General features: G+C 37.3%; 1 protein-coding gene and 1 long non-coding RNA gene across 21 annotated transcripts in view; one reads left to right on the top strand and one right to left on the bottom strand.

Annotated features, from left to right (window-relative positions):
* Window positions 1-23662, bottom strand: part of SUGCT (succinyl-CoA:glutarate-CoA transferase) — a 903812-nt gene that overhangs the window by 757906 nt on the left and 122244 nt on the right. For 13 of the 19 annotated variants that reach the window (XR_007060157.1, XR_007060156.1, XM_047420840.1 and 10 more), the window contains exon 8: window positions 6255-6398. The exons of the other annotated variants lie outside the window; for them this stretch is intronic. Coding sequence is in view for 11 of the 13 variants with exons in the window: in XM_047420840.1 (XP_047276796.1) it covers window positions 6255-6398 (144 nt within the window). In the remaining 2 variants the exon portion in view is untranslated. The remainder of the gene's footprint in view (window positions 1-6254; window positions 6399-23662) is intronic. 19 annotated transcript variants of the gene reach the window in all.
* LOC105375245 (uncharacterized) overlaps window positions 1-23662 on the top strand; it is a 57295-nt gene that overhangs the window by 16300 nt on the left and 17333 nt on the right. The window lies entirely within an intron of this gene.

The raw sequence follows: 23662 nt of genomic DNA, 5'->3' as shown, positions 1-23662 counted from the left end.
CCATTCTAGCCTCATCGGCAAGACCCGCACCAGAAGTAACAATACGGGTACTCATCAAAACCTGATTAATACTGATGGTTACATAACCCACTAAACTTACTAAAATCATTAAGTTGTCATTTTTATGATATGTAATATATACCTCAATAAAATTGTTTAAAAAAATGATACAGAGTTGCTTAAAAAAGCAGAAACACAGGTATATCTAAGGACACAAAACAATGAATTTTAGATTACTTGCTTGAGATTCAAAAGTTTATCAGTCAAAATGATAAGAATTAAAATTGTTTCTACTTGAATATGTTCATGTAATATGATCAATGTACATGTGTGAGTAAAGGATGGTCACATCAAAAGTGACAATATATTCTATATATGCAAATAATTATGGTGCTAAAAAAACTAACTCATTGTAGTAGTAATTAAGGGAGCCTGGTTGCAATTAAGTACAGTAAGGACATTAAAACTTCCAAAAGATATTTCTGTAGGCCACAACAGAAGAATAGAGCAACAGAATAAGCAGAACCACATCCAAACCCGCTTCCTTGTTATTTACCAATATCATCTAAAGAACACTGTTTAGATGCTGATGTTAGTTGTCTTGACTGGACAAATTTAAATCATATTCAGACAAAAAAATCAAAAGAATTTTTGACAAGGGTTGAAAGTTTATAGCCTTAAAACTATAAAAACTGTGGTGCCCACTACAAACCACATCCTGGCAATTGTCATGTCTCTACAAGGAACTACTTGAAATGGTTTTGTTGTGGCTGAGGCAATCATTTCTGAGTTAATAATTAGCTACTATTCCAATCAGGTGTAAATTGTCTTTTTTACACTAGATCACTTTTAAGAGGAATATAACAATTTCATTTTTAGCAACTAACGTTCAATGTTATAATCATTCATCATTCTATGTAATATAATCAAAATGAGTAGGAAAATGTGTTTTTTACTACTGCATGAAATTGTATTCATTCTCACGCAGCTGAAATTAAATTCAAATGTTACCTACTTAATGCAGGTGAACATTTATATTAAAAAGAATACTTTTTTTAATTTAAAAAAAGGTGAAGTTTCCTGTTACGCTTTTTTGAAAAGTACCTACAAATAGCACTCCTTATTTACATAAAGCAGGTTTTAATCATGTTGTGGTTGGTTTTTAGATCTAGAATTTATAAGTGTTATCTTAAATTGAAAGACAAATTGAAGTCAGTCAAGGTTTATCTATTATGAAACGTTATCATAATTATGATAAAATAATTATGTTATTAGCCAACTTTTTAATCTAACATTACTAACACTGAAGTATTTTTTCAATAACCTAATAAAATTAATGTTGTCATCATTAAACTTTCTGATTTACAAAGTATTTTTCACATCCTTCATTGCATTAGATCCTAAAAACAACCCTCTACATTAGCATAGTAAATATTTGTAGATTGCTTCCCCAACATCCATTTCCCTCTTTTCTGGCCAAAAAATAACCATGCCATTCTTTGGAGGAATCACCTGTCCCCCAGTCTCAGCCACACAGTTTGGGTGGAGTTAACCCCATCGCTAGTACCAGGAATTGCTTATGCCACTCAGTGTATTCTATCTTTCAGGCCCCATTTATCAGTTTAGGAATGGTCCCTTAAACCAGTGAAATCATGTTCTTGTTTTCTGGGACTTCTAGGAAAGGGAACTTCCTTTATCTCTCATGGGAACTACTGTAAGATTCTGAAACTTTTTGGAATAATACGGTATAAGAATGTAAGATCTGGTAAGATCTGGCTGGATGCAGTGGCTCACACCTGCAATACCAACATGTTGGCAGGCCAAGGCAGGAAGATCCCTTAAGGCCAAGAGTTCAAGACTAGCCTGGACAACACAGTCAGACCCCCCCATCTCTAAAAAAAAAAAAAAATACAAAAATTAGCCAGGCATAAGGTCATACGCCTGTAGTCCGAACCACTAGGGAAGCTGAGGAAGGAGGATTGTTTGAGCCCAGGAGTTCGAGGTTTCAGTGAGCTATCATTGCACCACTGCATTCCAACCTGGACAAAAGCACGAGACCGTATCTCTTTAAAAAAAAAAAAAATGTAAGATCTGAAACCAAAACTGCTAAAACCTTAGTTCCACATAAGGAAGGATGGATAAAAGGGAGGGAGAGGGAAGAAGGTCAAGAGCATAGAGGAGAAAGGAAAACAGGAAAGTAAAGAAAGATGAGAGAGAAAAAAAGGAGAAAAGAGATGTCCAGGCTAGAGAAGGGCACATGAGAAGAAAGGGAGGACAGAGACAAGGAATAAAGCAGAGGCAAACAGAGAAAAACAGAGCTCAGGATGCAGCAAATCCAGAGAGTGAAAAAGTTCTTACCAGGCATTGCCTTGCACTTCAGGTAAGCTGTAGAATAAATTATCTGCTATTGTGAATAGTATCGCAATAAACATATGTGTGCATGTGTCTTTATAGCAGCATGATTTATAGTCCTTTGGGTATATAACCAGTAATGGGATGGCTGGGTCAAATGGTATTTCTAGTCCTAGATCCCTGAGGAATCGCCACACTGACTTCCACAATGGTTGAACTAGTTTACAGTCCCACCAACAGTGTAAAAGTGTTCCTATTTCTCCACATCCTCTCCAGCACCTGTTGTTTCCTGACTTTTTAATGATTGCCATTCTAATTGGTGTGAGACGGTATCTCACTGTGGTTTTGATTTGCATTTCTCTGATGGCCAATGATGAGCATTTTTTCATGTGTCTTTTGGCTGCATAAATGTCTTCTTTTGAGAAGTGTCTGTTCATATCCTTTGCCCGAACCAACCCAAATATCCAACAATGATAGACTGGATTAAGAAAATGTGGCACATATACACCATGGAACACTATGCAGCCATAAAAAATGATGAGTTCATGTCCTTCGTAGGGACATGGATGAAGCTGGAAATCATCATTCTCAGTAAACTATCGCAAGGATAAAAAACCAAACACCGCATGTTCTCACTCATAGATGGGAATTGAACAATGACAACACATGGAGACAGGAAGGGGAACACCACACTCTGGGGACTGTTGTGGGGTGAGGGGATGGGGGAGGGATAGCATTAGGAGATATACCTAGTGCTAAATGACGAGTTAATGGGTGCAACACACCAGCGTGGCACATGTATACATGTGTAGCTAACCTGCACATTGTGCACATGTACCCTAAAACTTAAAGTATAATAATAATAATAATAATAATAATAACAAAAAGAACAAATTATCTGTTAAATTGCCTTTTGAAGTTCTCTAACCACTACTCACAGCCCAGAAGCTATTCTGAATGGGGCAGCTGTAGCAAGTCTATGAAGAGACATATTCTTTGCCTTAAAAGACCATCACCTAATAGAATTTATGAATAAAGAAACAGAACTCTTGCTCAGCACAGTGGCTCTGGCTGGGTGCAGTGGCTCACGCCTATAATCCCAGCACTTTGGGAGGCTGAGGCAGGTGGATCACTCAAGGTCAGGAGTTCAAGACCAGCCTGGCCAACATGGCAAAACCCCGTCTCTACCAAAAAATACAAAAAAAAAAAATTAGCCAGGAGTTTTGACACACGCCTGTAGTCCCAGTTACTCGGGAGGCTGAGGCACAAGAATTGCTCAACCTAGGAGTCAGAAGTTGCAGTGAGCTGAGATCGCATCACTGCACTCCAGCCTGGGCGACAGAAAAAGAAAAAAAGAAAGATAGTTAATGAGACTGAAATACACTAATTTTAGCAATCTGAGTTAACTGTAGTACAATAGGCCAAATCACTGCTACTTTTTTTGCCAAAAGCAAATAATCTCATCATTAGCTGTTTATCGAGTACTTATCATAATTCTAATGATTTACTATCTTTTCACATCTTCCTTGGCAAACCTAAGGGTTACGAGACATTCCCACTGGTAACAGTAGTTCTCACATTGACCTCAAAGGATTGGAAAAGCCAATCTTTGACAAAGGCTGGGCTGGGAATTGAGGATACCATGGTACACAAAAACATTGTGCCAGCAGTCATAGAATTTAGTCTCAGGGAGAAACAGAGACAATAAAAATAGACACAGACACAGACAGACAGACAGACACACACACACACACACACACACATGCACACCCCAAAAATGATTGACTATATACCTGTGTGTATATGCATGAGTTTGCCGTCACTGTGCCCTCACTTTGAAGCAGCCCTATGGTGATTCCACCTTCCCCACCCTTACTCCCAGGGAAATACACACCTTCACATGGTGAACCACTAGTTAGATGCTAGAAGTGAATTAAACTCTATGATACTCATCTAAATAATACAATACTCTTTATACATTAGAGTAAAGCAGCCTAGGTAAAAATCAGGAGACTTAAGTAGAGTCTCAACTCCACGACCTGCTACATAATTTGTGAGTACTGGTGTAAATAAAAACTATAGGGCCTCCTGTGGATGTTATTAACAAATTCAAGACAGTGACAGCAGAACATTTAACTAAGCCCAGGGCTACCCATGACTGCACAGATTACACACCCATGAAACCTTCATGGCTTCCAAACTTATTGGATGTGCAACTTTTATGCAGTTGCTTACCCTACCTCAGGTTCCTTACAGCTTAAAATTAGAGGAAGAAAAGACTTTCTGCACCCTCCCATAACTAACATCTGTAGTTCTCTATTAAGGAGTGAAACCACTCATTTGAACAGAGTTCTTTTACCTTTTTATAGAAACATTAAAATTCTGACCACGACTCGAAGCTACTGTTATGTAAAAACCCATACATAGTATTTCATTTTCAACCATATTGATGTTTTTTATTTCTATATACCTCCTTAATTTTGCCTAAGAGGAAAAAATATCCAAAGCAGTGTTCCAAGTTTACTATTTTCCCATGTATGCCTTTTAAATCTGAAATTCCCAACTGGGGTCTCTATGTCTAGAAAGTAGTTTTTCCCACAGTAAAATGTCTCCTTGCACAAATCAGATATTTTCTTTTTCTATCACGGAAAAATTATCTATTCAGAATCAACTTCCACATATGGTACAGCATCTGGGTCTGATCCAGTGAAAAGAAGGCAAAATGTCATTTTGACAGTGAGTTAACCCTTTTATTCCCCCAGTTTAGTATTTAGCACAACATAACTGATAACTACGGAAACCAGGAATTCTTTATCTGGGGTCTATAAACAGATTTCTGGGAGTTAATCAACTCAAGTGAAAAAAAAAGTGTATCTTTATTTTCATCACCTCTAAAATTTAGCATTTTATTCTATTATAAATGTAGGTGACAAACCACAAGAATATTAGTGGTACCTATGACTTGATCACGAATAAATATTATGCATATCTTTGTATCATATTACAATTACTACAGATACCATGAAATACCACTTATGCTCAACATGACTTCAAAATTATAATAGTGTTACACCCACTATTAGATATTGTGGTTTAATGTGTTAGTAAAAATTATATATTTTTAATAATGCAAAATTGATTTTTCCATTGAATATATTTCAGTATAACCAGCTTCCTTTGTAATCCTAAGTACCTTATTTTATGTGTTCAAAAACACAATTGCAAGGAAAAGTCCAGACTTCACCAGACTACCAAAGGGGTTCGTGGCACATAAAAGGTGAAGAAACAAGTCAAAGTAAGTTACAGAGTACATGTGAAGCAACCATATCTCTTGTCTTATAAGAAGCAACAGACACATTCTAGTAAAAACAGCCTGGAAAATTTGGGTTCAACAATGATGTCTACATTACAACAAAATCTTCATGGTCCGTGTATTTTAATATGAAAACAAGTACATGGGCCATTCGTGGTGGCTCATGCCTGTAATCCCAGCACTTTGGGAGGCCAAGGTGGGCAAATCACCTGAGGTCGGGAGTTCGAGACCAGCCTGACCGACATGGAGAAACCCCATCTCTACTAAAAATACAAAATTAGCCGGGCGTGGTGGCACATGCCTGTAACCCCAGCTACTCAGGAGGCTGAGGCAGAAGAATTGCTTGAACCCAGGAGGTGGAGGTTGCAGTGAGCCAAGATCACGCCATTGCACTCCAGCCTGGGCAACAAGAGCAAAATTCCATCTCAAAAAAGAAAAGAAACAAGTACATCAAAATGAAACAGTTTTCAGTGTTGTTGTGTTGGTTTTTGTATTGTTTTTGTACATGTGACCATAGAATTTGATCTGAAAAGGTATAACCCAGACACAGTTTTTATAACATTATCTGAAATGTTAGTTGGATTGTTACCTGGGATGACAGTAGGTTACAATCAATGAACAGTCCTTTCCCAGTTTTGTATTTTTGTATCAATCCAGCCATAATAGCTCCATATGCATACAGGCCAGTGGCAAGATCAGTCATAGCTACTCCTGGGCGAACTGGATCTCCATTCTGATTTGAAGGTTGGGTTGAGAAAGAAGAAATAATTAAACATTAAAAGAATCATATGATTTCTCAAATCTTCTAATGTGAAATAGAAAAAAGAATTGTCTATTAACTGTGCAGACACATACACACAAGAAAGTTAATAAAATAAATTGCTATTGTGAATATCTGTTGGTAATAGGAAAATATTTATATTTACTATATACTTCTCAGTGCATTTCTCTCCCCAATGCCTACTAACCAAACTAAAAATAAAAGATTTTTTAGAAACCGATCTGATGTTTCAATGTTTTAAATTCCTTCTTGATATATTTTATCTTGTTTATGCTAAAAAAATTAATTGAATTTAAATGAGTTAATTTGTTGGGGAGAAAGAGTTAAAGCAGTGTTTTTCTCCTATTGGGTGAGAGGCTCTCTCACAAAAAAAAAAAAAAAAAAAAAAAAAGAAGGTAAAAAATCTGGTCAAACCTCCTTGTAAGCACACCAATAGCTGGCAAAAATACTAACAGTGTTTGCTTAATAATTTAAAAAAAGACTATTTACCCATAAAAAGCTGTTAGCAGACTGCCCCTGAATTAGGATTACTATGATAAACAAACTGAGAATCTCAAGATTTATGGGACATGGAGCACTGGGCACAGGGCATGAGCTTTGCAACTATCTGGGTATAAAACGGAGATGTTTCACAGCCTGTAACACTCCCTGCTAATAACTCATATATTTCATTAAGGACCTCATCTACTGCTTTGGGCCACAGAGTTTTGTCTATTGCAGTAAGAAAGGATCCGGGGGCCTCTCTCAATGTCCCAGACATGTCTCTGCTTTTTCTGAGCCTTTTGATTGCTTGTATTCTTGAAATTATAAGGAAAGCTTAATATTGATTAACATCTCCACTTCATGTCAGTCTGATTTGACAATCCAATCCTTGGCCCATATGTAAAGATGTTAGAACAGTACTTGACACAAAATAAAAATCACCTATCAAAATTATCAACATTGTTATTAGTCATTGATATATCAGATAGTTTCTACTTGTCACTACCTTTAATTCTGCTAAGCCTTAAATCGCACAGAATACCTAAAAAAACTCACATTTCATACTTCATCTGGCTGATGCAGTGATTCAATTACCTCCTTATTAAGTCTAGCTTCTGTTGAATCATTTTCAGAAGTTAATTTGTCCTTTTTTTGTAGCCCATCATAAACCATGTTAATTGTTTTGCAAAAGTACTGTTTTGCAAAATAATGTTTAAAGCAAGTAACTGAGACGGTATAGTAGCTAAACTTATTTTTCCCTGCTTTTCAATACAATTTCAAGGACGATATTGCCATGAAACTTGGAAATGTCTGGCAGTTTACTATTATTATTGTCAAAAGTTGTAATGTAATGCCTTAAATCAATACACTTAAAATTAAATTTGTCATTAGAATTTAAAATTATTTAATGTCTTAAAAGTGAGAGACAAGTTCAAAGTTACATTGACCCTTGAACAACAAAGTTCTGAACTGCATGGATCCACTTATACGTGGAATTTTTTTTCAATAAAAGTTACACTAAAGGCTGGGCACGGTGGCTCACACCTGTAATCTCAGCACTTTGGGAGGTCAAGGCGAGTAGATCACCTGAAGTCAGGAGTTCAAGACCAGCCTGGCCAACATGGTGAAACCCCGTCTCTACTGAAAATACAAAAATTAGCCAGGTGTGGTGGCACATATATGTAATCCCGGCTACTCAGGAGACTGAGGCAGGAGAACTGCTTGAACCCGGGAGGCGGAGGCTGCAGTGAGCTGAGATCGTGCCACTGCACTCCAGCATGGGTAACAGAGCAAGACTCCATCTCAAAAAAAAAAAAATAATAATAATAATAATAATAATACCATATGATCCAGCAATTCCACAGCTGGGTAGATATCCAAGAAAGAAGAAAATCAATCACGAAGAGATATGTGCACTCCCATGGTTACTGCAGCACTATTGACAACAGCGGAAATATGGAATAAACCCAAGTGTCCATCAAAGGATGAATGGATAAAGAAAATGTGTTCACGCACAGTGGCTCATGCCTATAAATCCCAACACTTTGGAGGCCAAGCAGGAGGATCACTTGAGGCCACGAGTTCAAGAACAGCCTGGGTGACAGAGTAAGACCCTGTCTCTACCAAAAAATACAAAAATTAGCCGGGCATGGTGGCACACACCCCTAGTACCAGCTACTTGGGAGTCTGAGGTGCAAAGATCACTTGAGTGCAGGAGTTCCATCCAGGCTGGAATGAGCTATGATCATGCCACTGCACTCCAATCTAGGCAAAAGACTGAGACCCTGTATATATATATATATATATATATATATATATATATATATATATATATATATATGTCACATTGCAGTTGTTTTTGAAACATCCATATATATATATATATAGAGAGAGAGAGAGAGAGAGAGAGAGAGCGAGACAGAGAGAGAGGAATATTATTCAGCCATAAAAAATTAGCTGGGCAAAGAATAAATTCCTGTCATTTGCAACAATATGGATGTCACTGGAGGACATTATGTTACATGAAAGAAGCCAAGCACAGAAAGACAAATATCACATATTCTGACTCAGATGTGGAAGCTAACAAAGTAGATCTCATGAAGATAGAGAGCAGACTGCTGGTTACCAGAGGCTGGGAAGGGTAGGGGGAGGAGAGATGAAGAGAGGTTGATTAGTGGGTACAAACATACGCTTAGATGGAAGAAATAAGAATTGTTGTTCAGTAGATCAGTACGGTGACTATAGCTAACATCAAAAGGCTGTACATTTCAAAATAGTTAGCAGGGAATAATTGGAATGTTCCTAGAACAGAGAAATGGTAAATATTTAAGGTGATGATGGGTATATCAACAGCCCTGATCTGATTATATTAATGTATGGAATGATCACATGAACCCTGAAAACATGTACACCTATTATGTATCGATTTTTAAAAAGCTAAAAAAAAATGAAACTTCTCAACCTAATAAAGGGCATCTATTAAAAATCATAACCCAGATCACACTTAAAAGTAAAGAACTGAATGTTTTCCCCTAAAATGAAGAACAAGACAAGAGGCCAGGCACGAAGGCTCATTCCTATAATCCCACACTTTGGGAGACTGAAGGGAGGGCCACTTAAGCTCAGGAGTTGGAGCCCAGACTGCACAACATAGTGAGACCCCCGCCTATATATTTTACAAAAGAAAAAAAATTTAACTAATTATTTTTTAAAAGAATGAGACAAGGATGTCCACTCTAACCACTTCAATTCAACATTACACTGGAGGTTTTAGCCAGTGCAGTTAGGGTACAAAAAGAAATAAAATGAATTTAGGTTGCAAAGAAAGAAGTAAAACTATCTCAATTTGCAGATGACCCAGTCTTATATATCAAAAGTCCTAAGGAATCCACTAAAAAACTCTTAGAACTAGTAATCGAGTTAAGCAAGATTGCAAGATAAAAGCCAATATACAAACATCAGTTGTATTCTACACACTAGCAATAAACAAACAAAAAATGAAATAAAGAAAGTAATTCAATTTATAATAGGATAAAAAAGAATAAAATACTTAGAAATAAATTTAACAAAAGAAGTACAAACTTATACTCTTAAAATAATAAAATATTGTTGAAAGAAATTAAGACAAAAATAAACCAAAAGACATCTCACAGTCATGGAGCAGAAGACTTAATATTGTTAATATGGCAATGCTTCCCACACTCCTCTGCATATTCAAGGCAATTCTACCTACCAAAATCCTAGATACCTTTTTTGCAGAAATAAAATCTGATCCTAAAAATTCATATGGAAATACCATAAACAAAGAATAACCAATCTAGAAAAAGACAAAGTTAGAGGACTCACAAATTCTGATTTCAAAACTTACTACAAAGCTACTGTAATAAAGGCAGCATGGTACTGGTGGAAGGCAGACATATAAACAATAAAAATTCTCACATTTACATCCAATTACTTTTTGACAAATATGCCAACACAATTCAATTGGAAGAGTCTTTACAAAAAATGGTGAAAATAATAAAGTTGGATCCCCTCCTTGCAGTACATACAAAAATTGACTCTAAATGGACCAAAAATCTAAACTTAAGAGCTACAACTATATAACAAAAGAAAATATAGGAGTAAATCTTTATGATATTGGATTTGGCAATAATTTCTTTGATATGACATCAAAAGCACTAGCAACAAAAGAAAAAATAAATTGGACATAATTGAAATTAAAAATATGTGTTTCAAAGGACACCATCAAGAAAGTGAAAGGACAACCCAAAGAATAAGAGAAAGTTTAGTAAATCATGTACTTGATAAGAAATTTGTACAGAATTTCTTTTTTTTTTTTTTTTTTTTGAGAAAGGGTCTTGCTCCATCACCCAGGCTGAAATCCAATGGTGTAATCTCGGCTCACTGCAACCTCCACCTCCTGGGTTCATGCAATTCTCTTATCTCAGCCTCCCGTGTAGCTGGGACCACAGGCGCACACCACCATGCCCAGCTAATTTTTGTATTTTTGTAGAGACAGGGTCTCCCCACGTTGCCCAGGCTGGTCTTGAACTCCTGGGCTCAAGCAATCCACTGGCCTGGGCCTCCCAAAGTGCTGGGATTAAAGGCATGAGCGATCACACCCAGCCCAGAATTTTTAAAGAACACTTACAACGCAAAAATAACAAGAAAAATGACCTAATTTAAATATGGGCAAAAGATCTCAATAGACATTTCTCCAAAGAAAATATACAAATGGTCATTAAACACACGTAAAGATGCTTAATATCATTAGCCATCAGAGAAATGCAAATGAAAACCACAGTGAGTCTACAACTCAACAATAAAAAGACAAATAATCCCATTTTTTAAAAATGGGTAGGTCAGGAGCAGTGGCTCATACCTGTGATCCCAGCACTTTGGGAGGCTGAAGCCGGAGGACTCCTTGAGCTCAGGAGTTTGAAACAAGCCTAGGCAAAAAAGCAAGTCCACATCTCTACGATAAATACAAAAATTAGCCAGACATAGTGGTGCACACCTGTGGTCCCAGCTACTAGGGACACTGAGGCAAAAGGATTGCTTGAACCCAGGAGGTGGATGTTGCAGTGAGCTGAGATTCCACCACTGCACTCTAGCCTGGGTAACAGAGCAAGACTCTGTCTCAAAAAATAAATAAATAAATAAATAAAATAAAAAATTAAAAAAGTAAAAATTGAAGTTAAATGGGCAGAGGTTTTAAAGACACATTTCTCCAAAGAACTAGATACAAATGACCAATGGGCACATGAAAAGATATTCAACATCATTAGTTGTCAGAGAAATGTAAATTAAAACCACAGTGAAATACTACTTCACACTCACAAGGATGACTATCATAAAAAAAGAGAAATAACAAGTGTCAAGAAGGATGTGAAGAAATGGAGCCTTCATGTACTATTGGTGGGACTGTGAAATGCGGTAGTCACTGTGATAAACAGTCTGGCAGTTCCTCAAAAAGTTAAATATAGAGTTACCATATGACCCAGCAATTTCACTAAGGGGTATATACCCAAGAAAATGAAAGCATGGGCTGGGCACATTGGCTCATGCCTGTAATCCCAGCACTTTGGGAGCCTGAGGCGGGCGGATCACGAGGTCAGGAGTTCGAGACTAGTCTGGCCAACATGGTGAAACCCCATCTCCCCTAAAAATACAAAAATTAACCGGGCACGGTGGTGCACGCCTGTAATCCCAACTACTCAGGAGTCTGAGGCTTGAACCCGGGAGGCAGAAGTTGCAGTGGGCCAAGATTGCACCACTGCACTCCAACCTAGGGGACAGGGCAAGACTCCAACTCGGAAAAAAAAAAAATTAAAAACAAGAAAATGAAAGCATGTGTCCTCACAAAAAGCTTAGACACAAATTTTTATAGCAGCATTATTCATAATAGCCTAAGAGTAGAAATAACCCAAATGTCCATCAAATGATAACAGATAACGTGGGGACTAGCCATATGGTAGGATATTTTAGGCAACAAAAAAGAAACTATTCTACTAATACAATACGGTGGGATATTTTAGGCAACAAAAAAGAAACAAACTATTCTACTAATACATGGAAGCACTTTAACAAATATTATGCTAAGTGAGAGAAGGCAGTCACAAAAGGCTGCATATTATATAATTCCATTTACGTGAACTGTCCAGAACAGGCAAATCCATAGAGACAGAAGGTAGATTAGCCAGGGGCTGGGCGGAGGCAGGAATAGGGAATGACCACAAATAGGTAAGAGGTTTCTTTATGGGGTGATGAAAATGTTCTAAAATTGACTGTTGTAAGGTTGCAAAACCTGTGAAGTATACTAAAAGCCACTGAATTGTATGCTGTAAATGGGTGAGTTGTACAGTATATGAATTATATCCATAAAGCTGTTGTATTTTTAAACTCCATAATTCTGATAATTAAATGAAGCAGGAAAAATAAAGTTTAAAAAAAATCTTTAAAGACCTGCTTAAAATCATGTATTTAGTAAAAATTCTAGAAGTTTTCTTTCATTCAAGGCTATTGTTTTATTTCAATGAAGTTTTATTTCAGTCAAGGGTAACAATAACTAAAGAAGGGGTACCATTCACTCCTTAGTACAATTCTGAGGTGGCTATGCTCATACTGTGAAAATGTCTTATAAATATATTCCTATCATTGAAAAGTTGTCAGAATGCCAGAGAAATAAGGAAGCAAAAATAAATTACCATTTAGTGAGTAGAAATTCCCACAGAGAACGACACTGTGACTGTAAAGTGCCTAAGTATTCCCAGGTGCAAGAAGACAAAATCAGAGAAGGGGCTGTGTATCTACAAGGTACAACCCCCTTCCACATCTGGAACTCCACAGAGCCCTGCTGCTATAGCAGTACTAAACAATGTCTCCCTTCTCCTTAACTCTGGGATGAATGGGGTGGTATTGTCTCTATCATGGGTAAAGGGATTCATTACTCAAAATCTTTAGTAAAAATACATTGAAAAAAATGGGTAATTCACAAACCTTGTTAAGCAATATGCCTGAGAATCTCACCATAATTTATTAGAAGTGGACTTAAACTCATATACAGACTTTTAAACATCAAGTAATATTTTATTTTATTAAATTATAGCTCTAGAAATTGATAGTACAATTTTTATTTTGTTCATGGTCACTCAGAAACGGTTTTAAATGTATTTAGCTCTTTTAATGAATTAATGTAACCCTTTTGTCAGAGAGATTTATGATAATTTTGCTGTAAAAGTAACAGATATGACTGTCATCAATAAAGACAAGAAAGGGAAGAGTCTCTAGTTAACACTTAAGACATACAATTATAGTGTGAGGACAAAGTATTAAATAAAAATACTAAAAGTCTTCTGATTATTCACTTCCCATATGTATTCATGTATTTCTCTATTTTCACCATTCCCAGTGTTATTTTCTTTTTTTCTTCCTTTTTTTTTTTTGTTTGTTTGTTTTTGTTTTTTTTAGATGGAGTCTTGCTCTGTCTCCCAGGCTGCAGTGCAGTGGCATGATCTCAGCTCTCTGCAACCTCCACCTCCTGGCTTCAAGTGATTCTTCTGCCTCAGCCTCCCGAGTAGCTTGGGACTACAAATGCATGTCACCATGCCCGGCTAATTTTTTTATTTTTAGTAGAGATGGGGTTTCACCATATCGGCCAAGTTGATCTCAGACTCCTGACCTCGTGATGTGCCCGCCTTGGCCTCCCAAAGTGCTCGGATTATAGGCGTGAGCCATCATGCCCAGCCCCCAGTGGGTTATTTTCTTATACTCTGTCATCCCCCATTCATTCATGTATTCAAAAATTCACTAAAAGTAAAAGCTGACCATTAGTGGAAAACCCACTCAAATCTGAATAAGGTGCAGTTTAGATAAAAGAATTGTATCAATGATTATTAAAAGAAATTATCAATGATAATTTCTTAGTTTTGATCATAGCTCTACTTGAAAATGTTAACATTAAAGGAAATGGGGTGAAGAGTATAGGCACTCTACTACTTGTGCAACTTTTTTGATAGGTATAAAACTATTTCAGGCCAGGCGCAGTGGCTCACATCTGTAATCCCAGCACTTTGGGAGGCCGAGGCGGGCAGATCACCCGAGGTCAGGAGTTTGAGACCAGCCTGACCAACATGGAGAAACTCCCTCTCTACTAAAAATACAAAATTAGCCAGGCATGGTGGCAAGCACCTGTAATCCCAGCTACTCAGGAGGCTGAGGTAGGAGAATCACTTGAATCCGTTGCACTCCAGCCTTGGCAACAAGAGCAAAACTCCACCTCAAAAAAAAAAAAAAAAGGAAAGGAAAGAAAAGAAAAGAAAAAGAAAAAAAACTATTTCAAAATTAAAAAGTTAAAAAGTAAAACCTGAAATTCCTTCTTTAAAAATTGATAATTTTGAAATGACAGAAATGGTTTAGTGGTTTTTCTTTATTTTTTTGATTATGCAATCTAGAGATGAAGGGGAAAAACCACACCACTACCTGTGAAGGTTTTTGTTTTTTGTTTGTGTGTGTGTGTGTGTGGTTTTTTTTGAGACAGAGTTTTGCTCTGTTGTCCAGGCTGCAGTGCAGGGGCGTGATCTCAGCTCACTGTAGCCTCCGCCTCCTAGGTTCAAGCGATTCTCCTGCCTCATTCTCCCAAGTATCTGGGATTACAGGCACATGCCATCATGCCCTGCTAATTTTTGTACTTTTAGTAGAGACGGGGTTTCATCATGTTGGCCTGGTCTCGATCTCATGGCTTAAAGTGATCTGCCTGTCTCAACATCCCAAAGTGCTGGCATTACAGGCCTGAGTCACTGCAACCAGCCAAAGGTTTTTTTTTTGTTTGTTTCCTTTACATCCCGATCTCTTAAATCACAAAATTAAATATTTTAAAAGATTACTTACATACACAATTTAAGAATTTTTAACATTTTTATTCATTTCTCTATGCTCTTCCCACTACATTCAGAGCTTGCCAAATGAAACAGGGAAAGAAAAAAGAAAGAAATGAGGGAAGGAAGAAAAGAAGGAGGGGGGAGAGAGGGACAGCGTGAAAAAAAATCATGTGTTTTTCTAAGTTTCTAAAATCTTGTTTTGTTAAAAAGTGCATTGAAGCTGTAAATCAATTTGGGCATATGTTCAATAAAGAAGCATGAATTTGAAAAGTCGCCAAGCATTTTTCTCTTGTTACATTACTCAACCTAATTACTTCATAAAACAACAAAAGTGTTAAAACTTTTTTTAAGTAGTTGGCTTCATTTCTAAAATAAAAAATCATTCTTAAATGTATGTGTCCCTATGTTGTATCTTTATTTCATACTGAGTCATTCGTTATACAAATGTAATCTACAGAAATTTTTTTTGTATCCTGGGGCACACAAATTTTTTAATAAACCACTTTCCGAAATATAAATTTTTCTAGCATTTACTAACCACACAACCTTTGGAGAAGTTCTTGGCCTTTCTTAGTTTTTTTCTCAGTTGTCAAATATGGGTAATGATAAAATCTACTTCAGCATTTGGTATGAGAATTAAGTAAGAAAAGGTGTATAAAAGCACTTTATGAAGGTAAAAGGCTGCACAAATGAGACTTTTTATAAACAACTTGGTGTGATGATGGGACACCTGTCAGAATGACTTCGCAATAGTGCAGGGCAGAGAGACGAGATGAGAATCTCAATCAAGGACAAGTGGAGGCCATGGATTCAAGAGATACTTAGAAACTTGAATTCAGAGACTTTGATTATTGATCAGTTGGGGAGAGTAAAAAATGAAATAAATTTGGGGAAACAATCAACAGGAAATTAAGTTTCTTAATATGAAGGTAGTATTTTCATTGTTAAAACCACTATTCTCATGACTTGTAGCCCTAACTAGCAGGAAAACTGTCTTCAGTGGAATTGCAAGCATAGAGAACAAAGAATGGAATATTCAGATCAAATGAGGGTTTCCGTGCACACAGAACATGAGTCCTCACAGTCACTGCATTCACACTTCATGGGCACAGACTCTGCAACTATACAGCATCTGAACCTTCTGTTCCAAACACACACTCTACTTGAACCACTAATTGATACTAAAAATATGCTTACAGACGTTCACATACAAATTTCCACAAACTAACATTCCCCTACTTGAAGGAAATTCCATTTAGTAACTCAAAACACTGAACTCCACTCCTTCCACTGCCTCATCTATAAACAGGCATAACAAAGTCTATTACTTATGTACCTCAGTAACACTATGGAGTCCTCCAGTCTAAATCACACCATTTTAGAACTTGAAAGGATCCTGTAGTTCGATCCTCTTATCAGTAAAGGTAAACAAGCAGGAAAGTACACGAGTTGTTTAGAGATCAGTGTCTACTAATTACTGACAAACAGAGCCCTAATAAGACAGAGAAAAGAGTCTTAACACTACAAAGCACTAAATTTAGGCTATAAGTGGTGAACAATCCCAGCAAGAGAAAGGTCTTTACATTGCAGACCAGAACAGGAAGATCATTTTTCTTCATTACACCCTGAAAGACTTGAAGCTTTCACCCATACACCTCCAGCTAAACCTCAACAAACCACAAACCAGAAGAAAAAAAAAATGACGAATTGAGACCCCAGAAGAAAGGAAGAAAAAAGAAAGACTGACAGGAAGGGGGAAAGAAGAAAGCAAAAACTCTCTCTGATCTTCATTGCAGGTGGACTCACCATATTAGCCAGGCAACTCAAGGGAAAATGTAACAAAGTGATTTGTGTCATTCTCCAGATCCCTTGTAAGTGCCTGATTACCTAATATTATTAATGTCTTTGTAATACTATACTAAAATGTTCTGCCCTTCCAAACATGAAAAGTATGAACTTATAAATCATAATATCATATAGTCAAATTTTAGCATCCAACTTACTCTACACAAGGCTTACAAGCAAGCAATCTTTGTTACAGAAGAGAAGCTAAGGAAGAGTCAATTTAAATAAATACTGTGAGATGTTAAGTAGCAAAGTCAAGATGAGACCCCAAATCAATTTATCCAAAAACTGCTGCCTATACCACTTTTCTGGATTCAAATGCCTTCCTCAGGGCTTCATGATCAGGTTCAGATTAAATATTTTGCACTTAATAAACTAATAAGCTGTATTCAGATCTCTTTCACATCTGTAACATGTATGCTTCCAACATCATGTTTTTCAAAATGCTTTAACACATGTTGTCAGATTTAACACTAAAAGATAATTTTATAAGTGCCAATATTATCACTATTTTACAATTCATGAGAGAAATATTTAGGCTGGGCACCGTGGCTCATGCCTGTAATCCCAACATTTTGGGAGGCCAAGGTGGGCAGATCACTTAAAGTCAGGAGTTCAAGACCAGCCTGGCCAACATGGTGAAACCCATCTCTTCTAAAAATACAAAAATTAGCCAGATATGGTGGCACGCACCTGTGATCTCAGCTACTGGGGAGGCTGAGGCAGCAGAATCGTCTGAAAACAGGAGGCAGAGTTTGCAGTGAGCTGAGATGGCACCACTACACTTCAGCCTGATGACAGAGCAAGACTCTGTCTCAAAACAAAGAAATATTTAGACAATAAATTAACTTGTCAAAGTCACAGAGAGTAAATGATACAACTAGAACTCAGGAATTCTGATCCAAAAGCTTCTGTTCTTTTTGCTACCATCTTTTCTCCATATATTGTTTTATTATACATCAATATTCCTCATCTTTCCTTTTCAGACAATCACTAAAGAGCAAAAATTTTAAATGTGTGAGTTAATTTGTCATTTCTACAACTGCAGTCAAGAAATGATAGGCCCTAATGTGGTATGGCTTGTTCTTTTTTTTGAGAGAGAGTCTTGCTCTGTCGCCCAGGCTGGAGTGCAGTGGTACGATCTCGGCTCACTGCAAGGTCCACCTCCAGGGTTCACACCATTCTTCTGCCTCAGCCTCCCGAGTAGCTGGGACTACAAGGGCCCACTACCACGCTCGGCTAATTTTTTTTTTTTTTTTTTTTGTATTTTCGGTAGAGACGGGGGTTTCACCATGTTAGCCAGGATGGTCTCGATCTCCTGACCTCACGATTCGCCCACCTCGGCCTCCCAAAGTGCTGAGACTACAGGCATGAGCCACCGCGCCCAGCCGGTATGGCTTGTTCTTTGCAACTCAAGTGAACTGCAAACAATCTAATGTACCTACAGAGAAACATGCTTTTACCACTCAGAGATCAGGCAGGATGGGCACGTTCAGGGAGGTATGGCCATAGATGCTTTTACCATCTGAACAATGTAAACCAAAACTTTTTTCAGAAAATAATTGAAAGAATCAATTCATTGGCAGCCTACATTGAAAAATACACAAAACCACAAATTTCCAAAAATGCCTTAATACTTCGATCACACTATTTTCTTGTCTACTGACTGAAAACCATCTCAATCATTTTTACTAAGCTCCCACAGTGAGATTCCCAAAATATCATCTAGCCTGTCTGTCCTCATGAGTTTAAATAGAGTAAGACTGGGAGAAAATGAAATGGAAGGTTGGGGAATTGTGATATTTTAAGGAATAGACTAAGAAATAATTTCAAAAATTATTTTACATCTTTCCATGCTGCTCTTCAAGAAAAAGTTTCTTAGTTACAGTTTCTGTGCTACAGTTTTCTGCACTGATGGATCAGAGGGTAGAAAGAACAAATGTAAAAGTCAATGGCTCCAACTTCTGAAACAAAACAACATTTATATCCACGAAGATCTGCATATAAACAATCTTGCATTTAATAGGCATCCTCTGAACTCATTCTGTAAAAAACTTTTAAAGAGACATTTGGTCTAACTCCCTGCCTTTAGGTAGGTAAATTTCTAAGTCATCTAGGAGAGATGCTCATACCTCTCTTTAAGTATCTCCAGAGGACCGAGAAGAGTTACTGAGTGTTTATTACACGCCAGGCAAGCACTACAATGGAGAAAGGAGCTAGCATTGTTTCCTCCGTGTTTGTCTACACATTATCTCATTGAATCTTAGTACATATGTTGGGATACATGTTAGTATTCTCACTTTTACAAATGAAAAAATAATGAGGCTGAGAGGTGTTAACTGGGACTAAGATTCCAAGCCAGGACTGTCTGAAGGCCCAAGATCTTTCTACTCCATCATGCTAATAGAAACTGTGTGACCCGGACCTATTTCTTTATCTTTTGGAAGATTCATTGCCCTAGTGTCAAAGAGCTCTTCATTAGGTAACTAAAACCTCTTCTCTGATATGAGCTAATATTCTCTTATTCATTGTTCTATGAATAATAACAATAACTGCTCTACATCTTACCCATAAAAATAGATTAAAACAGACATCAAATCATTTATTTGCCTTATCCAAGGCAAAAAGTCCAGTCCCTATAGACTTTCACTGGAGAAAGTCTACTTTATATCCCTGAAATCATTTTGGCCATTTTTCTTCTCCAATTATAACAACTTTTTCAAAGCATTATGACCCAAATGAACACAACACTCTGAAAAGTAACTGAGATAGAAAAAAAAAGTGGGGGTGGGGTTCCTTGCTTTAATAAAATTCAGAAAGTAAAAATAGGCCAGGCATGGTGGCTCACACCTGTAATCCCAGCACTTTGGGAGGCCAAGGTGGGTGGATCACCTGAGGTCAGGAGTTCAAGACCAGCCTGGCCAACTGAAAATACAAAAATTAGCCAGGCATGGTGGCGCACACCTGTAGTCCCAGCTACTCGGGAGGCTGAGGCATGAGAATCCCTTGAACCCAGAAGGCAGAGGTTGCAGTAAGCCGAGATCACTCCATTGCACTCCAGTCTGGGCAACAGAGTGAGACACCATCTCAAAACAAAACAAAACAAAACAAAACAAAAGCTTTTTAATCCCTACCTCAAAGCTGAATATTTTTTCCAAACATTTGTACCATATTTTTTCCAAATATTCACAACCCAGAAATTCCCAGTTCAAATTATCTGAGTACAAGGTTTTACCTAATAAGAAAGGCTCTCCTTTTAAGCGTGTAGCTTAAAGAACTCTAGAAGGAATCAAGTGCCATAGCTATGGCAACCATGTAGCAGCTTCTGATTATCAAACTGAAGCTGAATCTTTCCTAGAACAATTAAAGATTCCAAATTCATATACAGCAAATAATAAGCACCAACTCTATGGGGGGTCTATGTTATATTCTAGATATACAAAAGGAATGTCCCAAAGATTCTCTCTCAATTCAGCCACTAATATTCTAAAGAGGAAGACAAACAGATATATATTAGCAGCATAAGTAAAAACATACAGAAGCACAGAGGGAAAAAATGGCAAAACAAATCTAATAGAGTTAAGAACCATGTCATAAAGGATGGATAGAAGTCCTGCACACCTAGTAGTGCTCTCAATGGAAGCACTATTGGCATTTTGCAAGAAAAATTCAGATTCAGGGGCCTGTCCCATACATTAAGGATGTTTAATCCATACCCCAAGCACTAATGTCAATAACAAATGAAATATCCCACATATCATTTTAAAATTTCCCTAGAGTTTTACTATCTCCAGATGAAGGATACTTCAAGCTCAGAACTGACATAGTGAAGAGATCCACTATCCTATTGCTTCTTAATTATGAACAGTAGCAGGGAAAGTGAAGCCAGGAGTTCAATGACTAAATAAATGAGTGAAAGTGTTTAAAATATTAAAAGATCTAATAAGGTCAAGAAATTTGTGATACAAAAGATGCAATTAGAGAATAAAACCAAAAATAGAATCTTCACAAATAACACAAAATACAAAATGTGGATATATGAGTGGGTTGAGCAAATGAATGTCGGTAAGTAAAGATAACCATACAACTGGCATCTAAATAAGACTACAAATTACAGCATGGTTTCACATATACCTCGTGTGATGCTGCACCATCACTTTACAACCATGTATTTCTTCTTTTATTGTATATATGTACTGTGTACAACATATTTTGAAACATATGCACATTGTAGAATGGCTCCACCAAGCTAATTAACAAATGCATTACTTCATATACTTATATTTTATTATGATAACGCTTAAAAAATCTACTGTCTTAGAGATTTTCAGGAACACAATACAGTCGCGTAGCCACAGTTGGCCCTGCAGAACACAAATATATGCAAATTGACCCTCAGTATATATGTATCCCTCAAGCTGCATTTGATTGAAAAAACTCCACATGTAAGTGGGCCCGCACAGCTCAAATTCATGTTATCCAAGGGTCAACTGTACATTAAGTATATTAACTATGTTGTACAATAGATCTCTTGAACTTATTCCTTCTAGCTAAATTTTTATATCCTTTGACCAACATCTCCCTAACCTGCCCTCCTCCCCAGGCCTCTGGTAACCACCATTCTACTCTCTACATCTATGAGTTAGACATTTTCGGATTCCATATATAAGTGAGGTCATGTGGTGTTCATCTTCTGTGCCTGGCTTATTTCACTTAGAATAATGTCCTTCAGGTTCACTTATGTTATAACATGTGACAAGAATTCCTTGTTTTTTCTAAGGCTGAATAGTATTCCATTACGTATATATACCATGTTTCTTTATCCATTTATTCATTCATTCATGGACACTGAAGTTGATGCTGCAATGAACATAGGAGTGCACATATCTCTTCCACATTACTGATTTCATTTCGCTTGAGTATATGCCCATTGGTGGGGTTGCTGGATCATATAGTTGTTCTACTTTTAATTTTTTGAAGAACCTCCATACTGCTTTCCATAATGGCCACATTAATTTACATAGCCACTAACAGCCATCACTTTACAACTTTACAATTACCAGTGAAAAAACATATTTTCCAGGCCGGGTGTGGTGGCTCACGCCTATAATCCCAGCACTTTGGGAGGCCAAGGCAGGTGGATCACGAGGTCAGGAGTTCGAGACCAGCCTGACCAACATGGTGAAACTCTGTCTCTACTAAAACCACAATAATTAGCTGGAGATGGTTGCACACTCCTGTAATCCCAGCTACTCAGGAGGCTGAGGCAGGATTATCGCTTGAACCCGGGAGGTGGAGGTTGCAGTGAGCCAAGATCGCGCCATTGCACTCCAGCCTGGGCAACAGAGTAAGACTCCGTCTCAAAAAGAAAAAAAATTAAAAACATATTTTCCCTATTTTACAGATGGAAAAACTGAAGTTAGAGAATCTGTCTAACGTTACACCAAATGACAGAACGAAAATTCAAACCCAGATTTTGATTCCTATGACTGTTCAATAAAGGTGTTAAATAGGTCTTCAATGGCTGCTCAAAGTAATGACAGGACATGAACTTAAGAAGAAAACTGTAAGAGTCAAGGTTTTCAGATTACATGGCAGAGGAGAGAAAAGGCCAGGATGTTTGTTACCTATGATGGTGGGAAAGAGAGTATGTGCATAGATTTTAGAAGTGGAGTGGATGTTGGCATAGGTTATAGAACCATGACTAGATGTCAAGGTAGACAGCAAGAAGCCTGGGACACCATCCCTGGTTCAGTGTTTGCAGAAAGTGGAGAAGCCAGGAACAAGCATCCTCCAATTGAAAGTAATTTAAAACCATTATCCCAATCTATACTCCTGCTATATTGTTCATGATACTTAAATTTTATTTATTTATTTTTTTTTCTGAGACGTAGTCTTGCCCTGTCACCCAGGCTAGAGTACAGTGGCATGATCTCGGCTCACTACAACCTCCACCTCCCGGGTTCAAGTGATTCTCCCACCTCAGCCTCCCGAGTAGCAGGATTACAAGCATCCACCATCATGCCCGGCTAATTTTTGTATTTTTGTAGAGACGGGGTTTATGCATGTTGGCCAGGCTGGTCTTGAACTCCTGGCCTCAGGTGATCCGCCAGCCTCAGCCTCCCAAAGTGCTGGGATTACAGGCATAAGCCACCACACCCAGTCTTAAATTTTCTTTTTAACCTACAACATTGAAACAAACCATTTATATTAACATTTACTTTAGTCTTTCCTCCTGGTTTACTTTTTAAAAAGAAGCTTTCTCTTTTTTTTTAACATTTCTTTGAAATGTTTTCAGTTTGTTGATGTTTCTCTGGGATTTCTGGTGCTTATAAACCAACTCAGTATTACAGATTCCAGCGTACCAGTGCCATATATAGATAAACTATGATGATCTTATTCCTCTGTAACATGAAACAAAAATGAACACAGCTCAAAATGATATTGACAATATCAAGGGAATCAACATCAAGAAATAATTGTTACATAGAATGCTCAATGAAAATAATG

The sequence above is a fragment of the Homo sapiens genome, chromosome 7 (assembly GCF_000001405.40).
Source record: "Homo sapiens chromosome 7, GRCh38.p14 Primary Assembly".
Taxonomy (NCBI): Eukaryota; Metazoa; Chordata; class Mammalia; order Primates; family Hominidae; genus Homo; species Homo sapiens.
This window is presented reverse-complemented; position numbering and strand designations above follow the sequence as displayed.